Source organism: Homo sapiens, chromosome 14 (genome assembly GCF_000001405.40).
Source record: "Homo sapiens chromosome 14, GRCh38.p14 Primary Assembly".
Lineage (NCBI taxonomy): Eukaryota > Metazoa > Chordata > Mammalia > Primates > Hominidae > Homo > Homo sapiens.
The window spans coordinates 21,930,325-21,950,890 of NC_000014.9; the positions used below are offsets into that span (position 1 = coordinate 21,930,325).

Below are 20,566 nucleotides of genomic sequence, written 5' to 3' on the forward strand. Positions count from 1 at the left end.
ACTTCAGTAGTGTTAAGTACATTCCTTTGTTGTGCAACCATCACTACCATCCATCTTGAGAACTCTTTTCATTTTGGAAACCTGAAACTCTGTGACTACTAAACAATAGCTCTCTATTTTCTTCTCCACCTAATCCCTAGAAACCAGCCTTCCTTTCTGTCTTTATAAGTTTGACTACTCTAGGTACTTTGTATAACTAGAGTCATACAATTTTTTTTTGTGACTGCCTTATTTCACTTAGCGTAATGTCCTCAAAGTTCATTCATGTCATAGTATGAAGCAGGCTTTCAGAATTTCCTTCCTTTATAAGGCTGCATATTATTCAATTGTGTGTACATACCCTATTTTGTTAAACTATTTATCTATCAATGGAAATTTGAGCTGTTTCTATCTTTTGGCTATTGTGAATAAGCTGCTCTCAACAAGAGTATGCAAACGTCTCAATATTTGGGGTATATCCCCCAATTCTTTCAACTTTAGAAGTGATATACCCAGAAGTGCAATTGCTGAATCACATAATAATTCTATTTTTAATTTTTTAAAGAACTGCCAAACTGGTTTCCACAGTGGCTGCTGTACCATTTTACATTTTCACCAACAGGACACAGGTGTTTTGATTTCTCCACATTTCATCAGCACTTCTTTTACTATCATTATTTTTGATATGAATAGTAGCCATCCTAATGGGCATGAAGTAGTATGTCATTATGATTTTTATTTGCATTTCCCTAATAATTCGTGATGATGAGTATCTTTTCCTGTGCTTATTGGCCAATTGTATATCTTCCTTGGAAAAATGCCTATTCAACTACTTTGCCCATTTTGAAATGGGGTGTCTGTCTTTCTCTCTCTCTCTTTCTCTCTTTCTTTCTTTCAAGATGGTGTTTCACCATGTTGCCCAGGCTGGTTTTGAACTCCCGAGCTAAAGCAATTCACCTACCTCGGCCTCCAAAGTCCTGGGATTACAGATGTGAGCCACCGCGCCTGGCCTGGGTTGTCTTTTTTTTCTGCTGAGTTGTAAGAGTTCTTTATATATTCTGGATATTGATCTTTTGTCGGATATATGATTTGATATTTTTTTTTCCATTCCATGGGTTGTTTATCCACTCTGTCACTCCATTAATTGTGCCCTTTGATGCACAGTAGTTTTTAATTTTGATGTAGTCAAGTTTATCTAAGTTTTCTTTTGCATCCTATGCTTTTGGTATTATAGCCAAGAAATTATTGCCAATTCCATGCTTTCTGAAGGCTGAAAAAAAAGAAAAAAAGAAAAAGAAATTATTGCCAAATCTAAATCGCGATGCTTTTCCTGTAAGATAAGAGTGCAGTTTCACTCTTTTGCATGTGGATATCCAGTTTTTCCCAACACTGTTTGTTGAAAAGACTTTCCTTTCACCCTTAAACAGTCTTAGGACCCTTTCCTAAAATAATTTGGTTGTAAATGTGAAGGTTTAATTTTGGGCTCTCTATTGTATTGCATTGGTCTATATGACTGTCATTATGCAAGCACCACACAGCTTTTGCTATATTACTGTAGCTTTGTAATCAGCTTTGAAATCAGGAAGTGTTAGACCTTCCAAACTTGTTCCTTTTCAAGATTATTTTGGCTATTTGGGGTTTCACAAGCTGCCATATGAACTTTTGGATGGATTTTTCTATTACTGCAAAAACACTATTGGGATTTTGATAGGGATTGAATTGAATCTGTAGATTGCTTTTGGTAGCATCGACATTTTAATGATGTTAAATTCTCCAATCCATAAATATCAGATGTCTTTCAACTTATTTGTGCCTTATTTAATTTATTTCAGCAACATTTTTGTTTTCATTGTGCAAGTCTTTAGCATTGTTGTTTAAGTTTATTCCTAAGTATTTTATTCTTTTTGATGCTATTGCAAATGGAATTATTTTCTTAATTTCCAAAGTGTTCATTGTTAGTTTATAGAAATGCAATTGATTTTTGTGTGCTGTTTCTGTATCCTTCAAGTTTGTTGAATTCATTTATTAGTTCTAACTACAAGCATATTTAATGGTGGAATTTCAGGTGTTGTGACAGCAGATTGGAGAACAGGACATTTGTCTCATGTCCCTCAGGATAACTCATGTAGGCTGCAAAACTTCAAGCATACATAGAAGCATCAACTTCATAATGTAATCATTTTATATCTTTAATACATCAGGCCCTTCAAAATTTAGTTTAAATGTTGAGAAGTCAAAGAATGATGTCCTTCTAAGAATAAATATTCTAACACATGATGATGTGCTGAACAAGATGAAGAATTTGTATTTGGATACATATTTTTAAAGCAATGTTTAGTTAGTAATTGAAAATACTAAACCAGGAGAAAATAATGTGCACTCTGGTTTCCATACTAGAGAGATATAGAAGCAGAAAGTTTTACCTCAGTCCACAGATCTAGTAAATAAACATCCAACACTTAAACTTGGGTCATTTGACTCCAATTGATGAATTTTCAGCAAACAATGAAATATAAAAGTAAGCCAATTCAATATACAACTCCAGAAGTTATAAAATTAACAGTAAAATAAAATGGTTGAGAGTAGATTGAAGGAATTAAAAATAAAAGCAAGAAATTAATGGCTCAAAGGAAAATAACAAAATCAATGATAAAACCACAACATGATATTTTGAAAATAATTACAATACTAACATGATCCAGAAAAAAAAAGTGAGAAGGGACAAATGCATGCACAAAAAAAAACAACATAATTAAGTTGAATTTATTTTGGGAATGTAAAGATGATTTAATACTTGAAAATCTATTAATATAATGCTTGAAATTAACAAACTTTAAGAAGGCCAAAGATGTTCTAATGCCTGGTTTGGTGGATTGTTTCATTTGGATCTAGGATGATTCACTGTACCTGTGCATTTGTGCAAGCTCATTTAATTTGGTTGGCTCTTAAAAATATTCGGATTCTTTCTCTTAATTTGACCCCAATTATAGATATAGTGTTATTGTTCTTAAATTTCTTGTTGCATTTAGATTATTTCTATGAAGAAAGGGGAAAATGATAAATTTATTCAATCATATTTATGACAAAGTTTTGGCTTCCATATTATTGTTTTTGTATTTTTCTTTTATTGTGAAGTGTACCAAGTTTTATTTTAGAAATTGCTGGACCAGTAAATATTGTTCAAGTTGATGGGTTGTATAGACTTCAGATTTTTGGAATGTTCTTGAAAATTATTCCCATTTATGTCCTTAAACCTTGCATAATCTTGTGAAATAATGCTTCATAACAATGACTGACTGTGCACAGATTAAACAATGCTTTAAATAATGTTAGTCATTAGGAAGAATTAAGCTATGATCCTGTATGTGAGAAATTTTCATACTGGTTAATTTGAACAACTATGCTTTAGACTCCTTTATCACAAGCAAGTTTCCAGGAACAGAAAGAGAGTGGTCACTGGCCATGAATAAAGTTCCAGTACTCTGGTGGTTCACAGAAGTTTAGGAACTTTTTCAGCCTTGCTACCATGCATTGCTCATCAGGTGTTTAATAATTGGTCTGAAAGGAATGCTTATGCCACTACCTGGTGGTCAGCTCCTAAACTGCAGTTTATTCATCCTTTAAAATATGTTTTCTTTCCTCTTTTAGTCAAAGAATGAGACCTGAAATTATTTAATTATTTTAAAAAATTTCATTTGGATAAATAGAGCACCTATTAACTTGCTGTCTTAAAATATTTCAAGGGCTTGGGAAAAAGTCACGTTGGTGTCTTCTAACTTCTCTCTGAAATTTCTCTGAAAGCAATTTATACTGGAAAAAATAGGGAACACATGTTTTGCTATTAATGAGATTTATGTTCAAAACTATTAACTTTGCCATGTACTTACTTGCTGAATACTTTTGTGTTTTGTTACATTTTTTTTGTAAAGTGTGATAGTGATAGCTTCTTTAGTATTTGTTGTGAGAATTCATCAATAATGTATCAAAGAAGATTAACAAGTAGCAGATGATCTAACAATGAGAATATTCTCAATAGACCCAGAAAAGGCATGTGACAAAATCCAGCATCCATTCCTGATTAAAAACTCTCTCTAAATGAGAAATTAAAAGGAACTTTCTCAACTTAATATAGGAAACTTACAACAACCTATGTCAAGTGTCATACTTGGTGAAAAACTAAAGGCTTCTCCCTAAGATCACACATAAGAAAAAAGTTATTGCTCTCACTGTTTCTGTTTAATATTGTACTAGAATGTCTATCCAGTGCAATAAGGCAAGAGACAGAAACAAAAGGCATACAGTTTGGAAAGGAAGAAATAAATCAAGCTTTATTTGCAGACAACATAATTGTTTAAGTAGAAAATCCAAAGAATCTGCAGAAAATATACCAGAACAAATAAGTAAGATTGTAAAGGTTGCAGGATAAATGATCAGTTTGCAAAGATTAATTGTATTTATATATTTTCACATGCGACAATCAGAAATTAAAAATAAAAACACAATACCATTTACAATAGCATCAAAAATATTAAATGCTTACAGATAAATCTTACAAAGTATAGAAGACTTGGTAACTTAAAGCCACAAAACCTCATGAGAGAAATTAAGACCTAAGGAATGGAGAGATAAACTATGTTCATAGATTGATAGACTCAATATTGTTAAAAAGTCAGTTCTGTTTCAATTATTCTACAGATTCAATATAACCACAATAAAAGTTCTGTCATTTTTTTGGTTAAAATTAGCAGGCTCATTATAAAATTTACTCAGAAATATAAGGCACCTAGAGTAGCCAAAACAGGGTTGGAAAAGAAAAAATTTGGAGGGATAATATTATCTTACTTCAAGTTGTTTTCCACAGTAATCAAAACAGTGTGGCATTTGTATACAGATAGACTAACAGATTAATAGAACAGAATAGAGCCCAGGAATAGACCCATATATACATGAACAACTACTTTTTGACAAAGGTGCAAAGGCAATTCAATGTGGAAAGGATAGTCTTTTCAACAAATAGTGCTTAAATAATTGAATATCCATATACAAAAAAATGAACTTTGACACTCTCATACCATATACAAAAAGTTACTTAAAGTGATCATAAACATAAATGTAAAACCCCAAATCATAACACTTCAAGAAGAAAATAGGAGGAAATTTTTGTGACCTTGGCCTATGCAAACATTTCTTAGATATGATAGCAAAACATGACCCATAAAAGACAAAAAGTTGATAAATTGAAAAATTGGTTTTCATTACAACTTAAAACTGCCTCTGGAAACAATTCTGTCAACAGAATTAATAGATGAGCTATAGACTGGAAAAATACTTGCAAATTGGGTATCTGAGAAAGTCATTTATTTGAGTTATGCAAAGAACCCACAGAACCCATTAACAAAAAAAAATAGAAAAGTAAATAAAATGGGCAAAAGATTTGAACAAACACTTCAGCAAAGAAACTATATGAATGGCAAATAGGCATATGAAAACATGCTTAGCATCATTAGTCATTAGGGATATGCAAATTAAAATCACAATTAGGTACTACTGCATACCTATTAGAGTGGGGTTGACAAGGATGTGGAGCAACTGCAACTCTCAGGTACTACTGGTGGAAATACAAAGTAATATAATAACTTTGGAAAATAATTGGGCAGGTTTTAAATAAGTCAAATATACACCTGATATCAGATGCAGCCATTCTACTCCAAGTTATTTGCTCTAAGAGAAATGACAGAATACACCTATACAAAATCTTGAATACACGTTTGTAGTAACTTTATTTGTAACAGCCTCAAACTGGGACTAACTGAAATGTACATCAACAGATAAATAACAAACACATTGTTTTATATCTATATAATGTAATAGTACTACTCAGCAATAAAAAGAAATAAACCATTGTTTCAAATGACACCATGAAAGAATCTCAAAATAATTATGCTAAGTGAAAGAAGATAAACCAAAAAAATTGTATATGATTTAATTTGTATAAATTATAAAATACACAAACTAATATATAGTGACAGAGAATTGCTTGGAAATGGGCATGGGAGATAGGAAGGTTAAGAGAAAAAGTACAAAGAAATATGAGAAACTTTTGGGGTGATGTAAATATTCATCATGTTGATTGCCATAATAGCATCACAAGCCTATATGTATGTCAAATCTTATAAAAATGTTCACTTTACTTTGGTGCAGTTAATTTTTATGTCAATTATACATCAATAAAACCATTTAAAAATCCAATTTAAAAGTACATGTCTTCAACATCACAGAAGTATTCTGATATGGTCCAAGATGCAAACTGTTCTCACTGGGTTTAAACTATTTTTCTTAAGTATGGATGACAACAGTCTACACCCATGTGCTCTACTGTTTATTTTCAACCCAGCATCATTCCAGCTTATTTTGCATTCCCCTTTGTATATCAGAATAGAAATTTGTAGCTGATTTTCCAGAATTCATTTTCAACATAGTTCTAGGCTTGTTTCTGACAAAGTGATTTGGAAGGTGGAGGAGAAGGAGAAGAGATTTGCAAACCCAAACAATATCTGGGCCTGAATTTCTTAATGAAGTCTGTATCTGAGAAACTATTCATATGCTGACTCTGGACGCATTCTTTATCTGAATCTGGGGAGAGTGAACTCCAGGAAACAGACTGAACTAAGTGTCTGTTCTTAGCTATGTGTCTAGGTATAAATGTTTACAGGTCCTTGCAGAAAGTTAGATCCTTCTCCCAAATTTTACTCTGATAACACTTCTGGAGGTTTTTTCTTTTCTTTTTCATTTTATTTTTAGATTTACATGCGGAGGTTTGTAACAAGAGTATGCTGCGTGATGCTGAGGTTTGGGCTCCTAGTTGGTCACCCAGATAGTGAACATAGTACGCAACAGGCAGTCACCTGGATAGTGAACATGGTACCCAATAGGATGTTTTTCAGCCCCTCCCCCCTCCATCTCTCCCTCCTTTTGGAGTCCACGATGTCTATTATTCCCATCTTTATGTCTGTGTGTGCCCACAGTCTGGCTTCCACTTACAATGAGAACATATGATATTTTGTTTTCTGTTTCTGCACTAATTCTGCACTTAAGATAATGGCCTCTAGCTGCATACATGTTTCTGCAAAGGATATAATTTCATTCGTTTTATGGCTGCATAGAATTCCATGGTGTATATGTACCAAATTTTCCATAGTCTATCACAATTGATGGGCACCTAGGTTGTTTCCATGTCTTTGCTATTGTAAATAGTGCTGTGATAAATATATGAGTGCATGTGTCTTTTGGTAGAATGATTTATATTCCTTTGGATATATAGCCAGGTATGGGATTGCTGGCTTGAATCATAAATGTTTTTTTAGTTTTCTGAGAAATCTCCACACTGCTTTCCACAGGGCTGAACTAATTTGCATTCTCAGCAACAGTGTATAAGCATTCCATTTTCCCTGCAAACTCTCCAGCATCTGTTATTTTTTGAATTTTAATAATAGCTATTCTGACCGGTATGAGATGGTATCTCATTGTGATTTTGATTTGCATTTCTTTGATGATTAGTGATATGAAAGATTTTTTCATATGCTTGTTGGCCACTTGTATGTCTTCTGCTGACGGGTGTCTGTTCAAGTTCTTTGTCCGTTGTTTAATGGAATTATTTGTTTATTTCCTGTTGATTTCTTAAAGTTCACTACAGATTCTGGATATTAGTCCTATGTAGGACGTATAGTTTGCAAATAATTTCTCCCATTTTGTAAGTTGTCTTTTAACTATGTTGATAGTTTCTTTTGCTGTGCAGAAGCCTTTTAGATTAAATAAGTCCCACTTGCCAATTTTTGTTTTTGTTGCAATTGCTTTTGAGAACTTAGCCAAAAATTCTTTGCCTAGGCTGATATCCAGAAGTGCGTTTCCTAGGTTTTCTTTTAGGATTTCTATGAGGTGTTACATTTAAGCCTTCAATCCCTCTTGAATTAATTTTTGTATATGGTGACAGATAGGGGTCCAGTTTTATTCATCTGCATATGTCTAGGCAGTTATCCCAGCACCATTTGTTGAATGAGTCCTTTCCCCATTGCTTATTTTTGTTGGCTTTGTCAAAGATCAGATGATCATAAGTGTATGGCTTTATTTCTCGGTTCTCTATTCTGTTCCATGGGTCTTTGTGTCCGTTTCTGGACCATTACTAAGGCCAAGTTTTAGTTACTTAGCCTTGTACTACAATTTGAATTTGGGTAATGTGATGTCTCTAGTTTTGTTCTTTCTTTTTGTTAAGGATTGCTTTGGCTATTCAGGCTCTTTTTTGGTTCCATATGAATTCTAGAATGGTTTCTACTAATTCTGTGAAAAATGACTTTGACAATTTGATAGGAATAGTTTTGAATTTGTAGATTGCTTTGGGCAGTATGGACATTTTGACGACATTGATTCTTCCAATCCATAAGCATGGAATGTTTTTCCATTTGTTCGTGTGGTCTATGATTTCTTTCAGCTGTGTTTTACAGTTCTTCTTTCACCTCTTTGGTTAGCTGTATTCCTAGGTATTTGGGGGCATGTGGCTATTGTAAATTGGATTGCATTCTTGAACTGACTCTCAGTATGATCACTATTGGTTTATAGAAATGCTCCTGATTTTTTAATGTTGATTTTGTACCTTGAAACTTCGCTGAAGTCATTCATTAGTTCTGGAGTCTTTTGGTGGAGTCTTTAGTGTTTTCTAGGTATAGAATCATATTGTCAGTGAAGAGAGATAATGTAACTTCTTCTTTCCCTATTTGGAGGCCTTTTACTTCTTTCTTTTGCCTGCTTGCTCTGGGTAAGACTTCTAGTACTATGCTGAATGGGAGTACAGAGAGTAGGCATTCTTGTCTTGTTCCCGTTCTCAAGGTGAACGCTTCCAGCTTTTGCCCATTAAGTATGATATTGGCTATGGGTTTGTCATAGACCACTCTTATTATTTTGAGGTATATTCCTTCAATACTTAGTTTGTTGAGGGTTTTTATCGTGAAGAGTTATTGGATTTTATGGAGTGCTTTTTCTGTATCTATTGAGATGATCACATGGGTTTTGGTTTTAATTCTGCTTATGTGGTGAATCGCATTTACTGATTTGTGTGTGTTGAAACAACTTTGGATCCCAGGAATGAAGCCTACTTGATCCCAGGAATGAAGATTAGCTTTTTGCTGTGCTGCTGGATTCAGGATGCTAGTTTTTGTTGAGAATTTTTGTGTCTATGTGCATCAGGGATTTGATCTTTAGTTTTCTTTTATCATTGTGTCTTTAACAGATTTTTGGTATCAGGATAATACTGGATTTGTAGAACAATTTAGGGAAGAATCTCTTCTTGATTTTTTGGAATAGTTTCAGCATGATTGGTATCAGTTCTTTGTATGTCTGGTAGAAGTCGGCTGTGAATCCGTCTGGTATGTGGCTTTTTTATTGGTACATTTTTTATTACTGATAAGCTGCACTTCACTAAAATTTAAAAGTTACGCTCTTATGAAATGCAATGTCAAGAAAATGGGAGACAAAATGCAAACTGAGTAATCCATTGCACTTGAACAAATCTTTCTTGATATTTTAGTTTCTCTCCATGTAAGAGACATATTTCAGCTGCATTTAGTCTGCCATCTTACCAAAAACAGGTTTTTGTTTTCTTTTGTTATGTTATAAAATGAAAACTCACAGGAAGTAAGCATAATGAAGTGTTTGTTTTTACTGCAGACACTTCATAGGAAAAGACCAGCTTTAATAATCTGTGTAATCATGGGGACATTTTTTTGTGATGACCTCAGAGTGTTATCTCTGATAGTTGATAACCGTCTTGGTATAGGACAGTGTTCACAAATAAAATCTTGTAAACAACTATCAGGCTGGCAGCAACAAAACCATCAGGGAAGTTTTTAAAAAATGAAACCCTTTGAATCTTGGAAATTGTGGTTTGAAATGTTGGAAATCGTGATTCCTAAAGTTAGTAGTCTTGTCCCAACATCTGTAATTTTAAATGACTCACAAGTTAATTCAGTTCTCACACAACCAGGTTTTAGAACCTCGATTATCAGCCGATGTATCTTTATCAATTTGTAAAGCAAGAGAAGAGGAAAGTTCTAACTCATGCTTCAGTCTGTTGATGCAAATCTACATGTGGATTCCCTACATCATCAGAGGAAATTGATTAAACTTTGGCAATAAAATGTTGGCATATGACCACAGTAGAAAGCGTCCTTGAGGCCAGATCTCCAGATTATAGGGTTAACACTTGTTGCCTGATTGTCATAAGCAAGCAACTTGTCTTGGAGTCATTGAAATCGTGAGGGAATAAGCTATTAATCTGAGGTCATATCTTATCAGTAAATGTCAGTCACTGCTCTACATGTTAGGATACAGTGCTGAAAAACATAGACTCAGTAACAGCAAGACTTCTTAACATTCCCTCTGATTTCAACTCAAAACCCTTGTCTGACATCCCATTGAATTATACCACTGGCCTGCAATGGATACGTAAAAATATTGGCCTGTATTAAAATATCCAAGAAAATGGAACTCTCACCTACAGAAATACTCTAGGATGCTTTGCTAAAGATCTTTTGTTTCAGGTAGTGTCCAAAGAACAAAATTGACAAAATAGACCATAGAGATGACAACATCTGCCCTTCATATTTACAAGGACCACCTGAGACTGGCATGGGCCTTATAAATGAGGTCAGGGTTGAGGACCTATTTCTGACTTTTGGAAGGAGTCCAGGAAAACATTCATCCCAGTTCAGCCCCTGTCCACCAGAGGGAGTGGCTTCCTAACACAAACTCATTTCCTGCTATCACTGTAGGTTTCACTGTGATTTCTTCATGTTAAGGATCAAGACCATTATTTGGGTAACACACTAAAGATGAACTATTCTCCAGGCTTAGTATCTCTGATACTCTTACTGCTTGGTTAGTGAGATGCCTTTTAAAATTTGGTCTCTGTCTTCTATCAAGCCAAAAAAATCTTTAACCATAATTTGACCTAAGAGCATTATGCTCAAGGCTAAACAGATCTCTCTCTCTCTCTTTTTTTTTTTTTCCCTAGGAAGAACCCGTGGAGATTCAGTGACCCAGATGGAAGGGCCAGTGACTCTCTCAGAAGAGGCCTTCCTGACTATAAACTGCACGTACACAGCCACAGGATACCCTTCCCTTTTCTGGTATGTCCAATATCCTGGAGAAGGTCTACAGCTCCTCCTGAAAGCCACGAAGGCTGATGACAAGGGAAGCAACAAAGGTTTTGAAGCCACATACCGTAAAGAAACCACTTCTTTCCACTTGGAGAAAGGCTCAGTTCAAGTGTCAGACTCAGCGGTGTACTTCTGTGCTCTGAGTGACACAGTGACAGGGACTGCAGGGGGAGCTGAGCACAAACTCTGAGCAGCACGGGGGGCCCGGCTGCTGAGTGTCAGCCACTGTGATCCACTCTGGTTCTAGCACAGTCTGTGGTTGTTTGTGCCTCAGTTTCTCTGATTGATGCAGTAATCATACACATGGCCAGAGGAGAAAAACAAGAAATGAACATCCCCAAACCCAGCTCTTGGTTAGTGAAATTAAAAACAGACATTGACACCAAATAGTTCCTCATCCAGTGCCAAAGTAATTTCAAGGTTAAACCACAGAAACAATGAAGCTGTCTCTGTGATCATCCTTGCAGACAAAGTTCAACCCCCACCTCTTGTTCCAGGTCACTCTGGTAGATATTGGAGGTGGATGTGTTCTATTACATTTTTACAGAGCCAAATATGCCAGAGAAGGTGGCGTCTGTACAATGTCTCTGTAACAGAGTACAGCAGGAGAGATGACGTGAGAGCCACAGCTCCTCAATTCAGTTCAAATGTCTATGCAGGATTCTTAATAGAGAAAGAAGGGAAGAGAAGAAAGGAGGAGGGACAGAATGTCACATGTAAAAAAATAATACGGAGAAGAAAGCAACAATTGTCAGAGAGAGGGAAGTTTTCTTTTTTGGTAAGCCAGATGGTAGACAAAGGCTGATGTTCCAAAAAGAAAGGGAAGGATCAAAATCATTATTGAAGAAATGACTCATTTGTAAATCATAAGTATTCCTTGCTTGTTACATTGATCAATTGGCTTTCTAACAACAAGTCCTTAAGTGAGTTAGTTTTGCAGTGCCAATGGAAGATTAAGCATACAGATTTATATTTGTATCCCTGTGAAATCCTATTAAAGACACAGTAAAGAAATTGAAAAGGGCATAAAACCACAAAAAGAATAGAAAAGGAGGTGACAGCAGATGGTGATACCAATACAATTTTAGAAGGCAGGAGTGTATGGAGAAATGAAAACTTGCATAGCAGACCAGATAAAGAAGAAACCTGGGCCCAGTGAAAGAAGACAACAAGGAACACCAATGTGTGTTGAGCCTTTGTGGAAAGGTTTAGAAATCAGAAGTACCAATGACCTTTGAATAATTGGTGAAGATAATGCTTTGTGTGTGTGTTTCTATTTTGAGGGTATTTGAAAAGAGGGTATGAAAAGAGGAGGAGAAAGTGAGAAAATGTATAATTAATTGACCACCCATGCTCTCCACCACTGCATGTATAACAAGCAATGCTCACTTCCCAAACCCAGAAGAAAGCTGGAATTTAATATTTCATGAATTGAAGTGCAGAACACAATAACACAAGAAAGCAGAATAAAATTAAAATGTAAAAATATAATAGTCAATTATTTAATATAAGAAATATAAAATATTGTTTATGAAATATTCTCGTAGTAGTCTATGTGTTTCAACCCAATTGTCTTCTAGATAAGTTTCACTAATTTATACTATCAGTAGTGGTGATTTGGCAGGATACCTATTTTCCTTAAACCTTATGTATTACTAAACTTTTTGACATTGGCTTATGAGTTAGAATTTCATTTAAAGAATATTTCATTTATTTATGAATTAGATGGAGCGTCATTTAATATACTTAAAAGCTATTTACATTTTTTGATATATTGCCATTTATATATCTGCCCCCCCTTTTTTTTTTACCATTTATTGTCTTTATTTTCCACATCTACCATTGTTCCAACTATGAGATACTGGCAAACCCTCACCCTTTGAAAAATTCTTTATTTTTTAAGAGCAGTTTTAGTTTACAGCAAGATTGAGAGAAGGGTACAGAGATTTGCCACACACCCTCTATCCCTTCCCAGATATATATCCTCTCCCATTATCAACATCCACCACCAGAGTGGTACATTTGTTACAAATGATGCACTTACATTGACATGTCATAGTCACTCAAAGTTCATAGTTTACATTAGGGTTCACGCTTAGTGTTGCATAATATATAGATGTGGACAAATGTGTAATGCCATACATCTATCATTGTAGTATCAGACAGAGTAATTTCACTGTCCTAAAAGTCCCTTGTGCTCTGGTATTCATTCATTTCCCAATATAACCCCTGGCTACCTCTGATCTTTTAGTGTTTCCATGATTTTGCCTTTTCCAGAATGTCATATACTTGGCATCATACAGTATGTAGACTTTCCACACTGACTTCTTTCACTTAGTAACATGGATTTAAGGTTTCTGTTTCTTTCATGTCTTGATAGCTCATTTTTTTTTAGTATTGAATAATATTCTATTTTCTGGATACATCATAGTTTATTTATCCATTCTTCTTCTGAAGGGTATTTTGGTTGCTTCGAAGTTTTGGCAATTATGAATAAAGCTGCCACAAATATCCCTTTGGAGGTTTTTGTGTAGACGTGTTTTCCACTACTTGGATAAATACCAATGAGGAAAACTGCTGGATCATATGGAAAGAATTTTTTTTTTTTTTAAAAGCTGCCAAACTGTGCTCAAAGTGGCTGTTCCATTTTGCATTCCCACCAACAATGAATGAGAGTTCTTTTTTGTTTATATCCTTGCTAGCATTTGGTGTTGTCAGAGGTCTGGATGTTGGCCATTCAAATAGGTGTATCATGGTATCTCATTGTTGTTTTAATTTTCATTTCCCTGATGCCATATGATATAGAACAACTTTTCATGTGCTTATTTGCTATTTATATATTTTCTTTGCTGAAATATGTGTTAAAGTCTTTTATCCATTTTTTTTTGGTCAGACTGTTTTCTTATTGTTGAATTTTAAGATGTTTTGCATAACAGTTCTTGATCAGATATGCCTTTTGCAAATATTTTCTCCTCGTCTGTGTTTTGTCTCCCATTTTCTTGACATTGCATTTCATAAGAGCATAACTGTTAAATTTTGGTGAAGTGCAGCTTATCAATAATTTTTTTTCCAGAGAACATACCTTTGTCTTTGTATAAGTCGTTGCCAAACCCAAGGTCATCTAGATTTTCTCCTACATTGCCTTCTTGGAGTTGAGTTTTGTTTTGCATTTTACATTTACATCTATGGTTGCTTTTTGAGTTAATTTTTGTGAATAGTATAAGGTCTGTGTCTAGAGTCTAGATTAATTTTCTTTTCTTTTTCTTTTTCTTTTTTTTTTTGCCTGTGAATGTCCAGTTGTTCCAGCACCATTTATTGACAAAACTGTCTTTACTTCATTGTATTGCCTGTGCTCCTTTGTCAAAGATTAGTTAACTACATTTATGTGCGTCTAGTTCTGGGTTCTCTATTTTGTTCCATTGATCTATTTGTTTATTCTTTTGCCAATGTCACAGTGTCTTGATTATTCTAGCTTTACAGTAAGTCTTAAAATCAGGTATTGTCATTCATCTGACTTTATTCTCCTGTAAAACCTTTTTTTGTTTTGATAATTCTGGGTCCTTTGCACCTCCATATAACCTTTAGAATGAGTTTATCAATATTCACAAAAAATTGCTGGGATTTTAATTGAGATTGCATTGAACCTACAGATTAAACTGTGAGGAATGAACATTTTGACAATATTGAGTCTTCCTACTCATGCACATGTCATCTGGGAACAAAGTTATACTTCTTTTTTTCCTAATCTGTATACTTTTTTTTTTTTTACTTGTCTTGTTGCATTAGCTAGGACTCGCAATATGACGCTGAAAAGGAGTGGAGAGAGGCCCATCTTTGCCTTGTTCCTGATGTTAGTAGGAAAGCATCAGTTTCTCATAATTATGATGTTAGCTATAGATTTTGGAACATATTACTTATGAAGTTGAAGGAATTCCACTCTATTTCTAGTTCACCGAGAGTTTTTATCATGAATGGGTGATGAATTTTGTTAAATGCTTTTTCTGCATTTATTGATAAAATCATGTGATTTTTCTAGAGACTTGAAAAGTTGAGAAGTTTATAGCCGATAGACACAGACTCATTAAAAGACTGAGAACAAATTGTGGGCCTATAGAACACTTCCTCTCCCCTCACACCTTACCACCATAGCACTAACAGCCTATTTACAGCGGTTCCTTTTACCAAGTATGTCATGTCTGGCTATCAAATAAAAAATTACAGGGCGTATTAAAAGGGAAAATACAATTGAAAGAGACAGAAAAATCATCAGAAAAACACATCAGGGTTGTTGGAACTATCAGACCCAGGAATTTGAAACAAATATGCCAACGGCTCTAGTAATGAAGTAGAGAGCATGCCAGAACAGATGGGCAATGTAACAGAGAGACCGACCTTCTAAGAAAGAACCAAGAGAAAAAAAAAGCTAGAGATCAAAATACAGCAACAGAAATGAAGAATGTCGTTGGCTGACTTATTAATAAACTGGACGTAGCTGAGGAAAGAATTTCTGAACTTAAGGATATATCAGCAGAAACATCCAAAACTGAAAAAGTAGAGAAAACAAAGACTAAAAAACACCCAGGAAAGAGTATCTAAAAATATTCAAAAACTGTGGAACAACTATAGAAGTATACTATACATGTAATGGGAATGTCACAGGGAGAAGAAAGAGAGAAATTAACAGAAAACATATTTAAAACAATGATGGAGAATTTCTCCCAAAATAATGCCAGATGCCAAACCACAGATCTAAGAAGCTCAGAGAACACTTGGTAGCATAAATGCCAACCCCCTCCAAATCCTAAGCATATCATTTTCAAACTAGAAAATCATAGACAAAGAAAACATCCTGAAAGAAGCTGGCAAGGGGTGGAGTGGGGGAAGTGCCTTACCTATACAGGAACAAACACAAGAATTACATCCAACTTCTCTTCAGAAATCATGCAAGGAGGAGAAAGTATAGTGAAATATTTAAGGTATTAACAGAACAAACCACCAACCTAGAATTGTGTACCCAGAGAAATTATCCCTCAAAAGTGCAAGAGAAATAAAGACATTTTCAGACAAAAATTGGGGATACGTGTTGCCAACTAGCCCTGCCTTGCAAGAAATGTTAAAAGTTCTTTAAAGATAAATTAAAAGTTCAGGTTTCTTCTATGGCAGAGTTGTGTAAATATGAATACATTCAAAATATAAATGTATAAATAAAGATAAACCTCAAGTAAGTCTCAGTTCAACTACAGAAAAATAAGAAAGTGCTTTTATGAGATATTTAGCTAAAAGTGCAATTCCTGTTTGTCTTTTGCACACTAGTGGAGACTGTCCCATAACCAGAGAACCCACTTGCAAATTTGAAAACCTAATTAGCTTCCTTCTCAGAAACACTCTGCTTATTCTTACATTTATCAGCTTCTGAGAACATGACAGCAGGTGTAAGAAGCTTCTCCATCAGTAATCCAAACTCGGTGCCTGTCATTGTAAGGAATATGCAACTGATGCTGGAGACCAGGGATTTCATTCCTGCTTTTGCAGGGACGAAGTGAGCTTGTGTAGACCATGATCTCTCTCCTGAATCTACGACAAGAATTCTGCTACTGCTTGATGAAAAGGGGGTCACTGAGAACTCTGGATTTTTTAATGCTTATTTGATTCCAATGAGGGGGCAAGTAAAGGCCTGATGGTTGCTCTCTCTGAACTCGGTAAAACATTGTAAAAATAGTACATGAAAATAAAATAATACAATTTTATTATTGTCTTGTAAGTGTGCAGAAAATGATACTCTGTCTTAGTTTTCCCTTAGTCGTATCAAAGTCTTGAAAATTTAGCCTTTACCAAAGCATTTCCTTTTCCATCTAGGCATAACACTTCTGCTCTAAACTCATATAAACTATTAGAACATTCCTCAATTACCACAAAAAATCCTTCAATTTCCTAGTAATTAGTCACAGAAGAAAGCTATTATGATAAAAACAGATGGTATTTGTTCTAGCATATAAGTGAATAATTTATGTTTCATGAGAGTAGAAGTCAAGCATCAAATGATCAAAGCTGAATAGAATTTTTAGCAGTAGGTTTTTCGTATCCTCCTCTCCAAATTTCATCCTCTCCTTTCTTGAAGGGGTTGACAAAGACAAAGTGTGGCCTGCCTGTGTTCTCTCTCAGCTCAGTCACTTTCACGTCTTTGAAACCAAATAATGCCATGGGGCTGAGTCCTTCTCAGCTGAATCCATGAAAAATAGTTCATCTTTTCACAAACTGGTAAACAAGTGAAGCATTTCAATTCACACATTGGGAATGTCACCATTTACCATGTGATTTGTTGATTAGGGAACAAAAAGGAGAGGTGGTGAAGTGAGCAGTTAAGAGTAAGAATTTAGGAGCCTGTTTGCCTGGGTTTGAATCTGATCTTGAATGCTTATAACTGTAAAATCTTGGCTAAGTTGCTTAACTTTCTGACTACCATTTGTTGTGGGGATTAAATGAATATATATATTTGAAATTCTGGCCCATGATAAGTGCTCAGTAATTGTTAGCTGATTATAAAAGCTGCTATAAAATCTTCTATAATATTGAGAAACTAAGAAGTCACTTGTGTTCAGGGAGAGAAAAATTACCATTTCGGTAGTTAATTATTTAGTAAATAAGCAAGAAAAGAAGAATACATGTTGACCTAAAATAATAATGAAGCCCTTATATGTACAATGTGCTGTATCAGGACATTTGTCTACTGATAGCAGTATAAATTATTGCTTTTACCTGGAAAGAACTTATCAGAAAAAATTTATTCCATAAATTGAGGAACAAGATAAAATACATAAAAACTTAACCAATTGTTAAAATTATAAGTATGTGGACAATTAAGTTTTAAAGGTATTTTCAGGAGGAGATCACTGTGTTACAGAAAAGTCAAGGAGAGGCATCATGGGGAAATAGAAAATTTAATCAGGCTTTAAAGGACAGACACACATCAAATTTGTTCATTATACAATTATTTCTTAAATAGGCAACAGGGGTTTTTGTAGGTTTGATGAATAGAATAATAAACAAAATAGACAAAGTCAGACACCAGAAGAGCTTACCTCATGAGGCTCGAGTCTAGCTTTGTCTACAGTGTTCAACTTTCTCTTACAGAAATATCCTATGAAGTTTTCGTTCTAACATAGATATTGCTCTTGCTTACCATAATAATTGGCCTGTTTTATGTGATGATTAAAAGGTAAGGTTTTTTTGTTTTGTTTTTGGAAACAGGTATCACTACGTTGCCAAGGCTGGTCACAAACTCCTGGGCTCAAGCGATCCACCTGTCTCAGCCAACTGAGTAGCTGGGACTATAGGCCCACACTACCACACCTGGCCAAGGTCTAAGTATTTAAGTGCTGTATCTGTCACTTACTAAATTATGTGGCCATGGACAAGTACTTAATTTAGAGCATCTACACATCATCAATTTTAATAACATACAACTTACCACATGATTGTAAAGATTGAATTAAATTAAATGAATTTAATTACATGATTGAATTTAGTCAAAAATAATTTTTCAGCTGATGATAGTTATTCTGGAATGTGGATGAAATGTTGATAAAACAGAACATAAGATAAAATAACTAAAAAATTTAAGTATAGATTAAGGTTTAGCTTTCCACTCTCCTGCTATTGATTATATTATTTTACTATGGTTAAGGCTGAGTCACCCTTTATTTCATATTGACCTTATTCCATCCAATTATTTGAACTGACTGTAATGGCTTTCTTGTTTGGTTTCTTTAGTTCACAGGTTTTATGCACAGAATGAAACATTCTTGCCCCTGGTGTAACTTAATGTAAATTCTAAGATGAATTCACATGAGCCTTATGGAGCAGGTGTCAGATATAATACTATTATATTGAGCTATGGTGCCAATAATTAGATCCGTATCTGGGGGCTCATTTAACAGGTTTCTGCATTGAAAGGAGAGAAAATAACCTTTCTAGGCTTTCCTTGGGGAGGAATGCTTTTTGGATATTCAATTTATGACTTGTACATACATGGTAGATGCTCAGGAAGGATTATAGAAGAAAAAAAGGAAGGACAACAATCTGGCAGACAAACAAGCATCACTCTCCAACAAATCAGCACCTGGTCCTACCAAGGTCCTTTTCCATGTTACCTCTTCAGACATCAGGAGGAGCTGTGTTATCTGTGCATGGGGGAATGGATCTTGTTTGTGGTTGGCTGGGAGGACTCTCAGCTTCCTGTAATAACAGAACTATGAATATTCACTCAGAGAAACAAGCTATTGGCTTGGTAGTGTTTGAGGGCTCCCAGACCCCAACCAGAGTCCGCAGTAAGTCTCATGGATAAAGTGGAGAAGCCCTTGGGAGTTTGTGGAGAAGCCCTTGGGAGTTTTGTTCTTGATTTTCTCTTGGCAGCTGTGCTGTGAGTTTTGGGGCTCTGGAAATATCATTGAAAAGAGCAGTTTGTAGTATCTTCTTTAAAAGTCTGCACTTGGACACAGGAAGGGGAGCATAACACACCGGGGCCTGTTGTGGGGTGGGGGGACGGGGTAGGGATAGCATTAGGAGATATACCTAATGTAAATGACTAGTTAATGGGTGCAGACACCAACATGGCGCATGTATACGTATGTAACAAACCTGCGCGTTGTGCACATGTACCCTAGAACGTAAAGTATAATAAAAATAAATAAATAAATAAATAAATAAATAAATAAAATAAAAGTCTGGAAGTTATAGAAGGGTGGTTAGGGCCTCTGTGCTCACCTGTGGGGACTTGAAAGGAGAGTATATCTTCCAAAAGTAGTCAGCCATGAATGAATGTCCTCTGTCTGTGGTTCTCTGTTTAAACAGGGGTGAACAGCCTCCATATTCTGGAGTAGAGTCCTTCATTCATTCCTGAGTATCCGGGAGGGAATGCACAACATTCTTAATTGCACTTATGAGGAGAGAACGTTCTCTTAACTTCTACTGGTTCTGGCAGGGTCTGGAAAAGGACTTGTGTCTTTGACCTTAATTCAATCAAGCCAGATGGAGGAGGGAGACAAACATTTTAAAGAAGCGCTTGGAAAAGAGAAGTTTTATAGTGTTTTGAATATGCTGGTCTCTCATCCTGGAGATTCAGGCACCTACTTCTGTGCTTTGAGGCACAGGGTCCCCAAGCACCTGCAGCCTGTACCACAACCTGCATCCGGGACCCTTGACACAGCCTTGCCTTGCAGGTGGGAGTGAAGGTGTTGTCTTTATATGTAGAGAGAACTTCTTTATAAACTCTGTCTCCAAACAGAAGCGAAGGGTAGTGCAGAATCTTTCTTATGTGATGAAGCTGAATTTATATTAAATTAAATTGCATTTTGTTATTATTGAAATTTCATTCTTCAATG

General features: G+C 35.2%; 1 pseudogene, 1 gene segment (V, D, J or C) and 1 further gene, besides 6 other annotated features; all 3 read left to right on the forward strand.

Moving 5' to 3' along the window:
• TRA (T cell receptor alpha locus) overlaps positions 1-20,566 on the forward strand; it is a 930,229-nt gene that overhangs the window by 308,421 nt on the left and 601,242 nt on the right.
• Positions 10,860-10,905: a sequence feature (TRAV9-2 leader sequence).
• Positions 10,860-11,333, forward strand: TRAV9-2 (T cell receptor alpha variable 9-2). The segment is given in 2 exon segments: positions 10,860-10,905; positions 11,042-11,333. Coding segments are annotated over 2 exon segments (338 nt in total), but the record flags the coding sequence as incomplete, so codon positions are not given.
• Positions 11,042-11,052: a sequence feature (TRAV9-2 leader sequence).
• Positions 11,341-11,363: a recombination feature (spacer).
• Positions 11,364-11,372: a recombination feature (nonamer).
• TRAV15 (T cell receptor alpha variable 15 (pseudogene)) lies at positions 19,803-20,330 on the forward strand (annotated as a pseudogene). Its single transcript is given in 2 exon segments — positions 19,803-19,852; positions 20,037-20,330. Coding segments are annotated over 2 exon segments (344 nt in total).
• Positions 20,338-20,359: a recombination feature (spacer).
• Positions 20,360-20,368: a recombination feature (nonamer).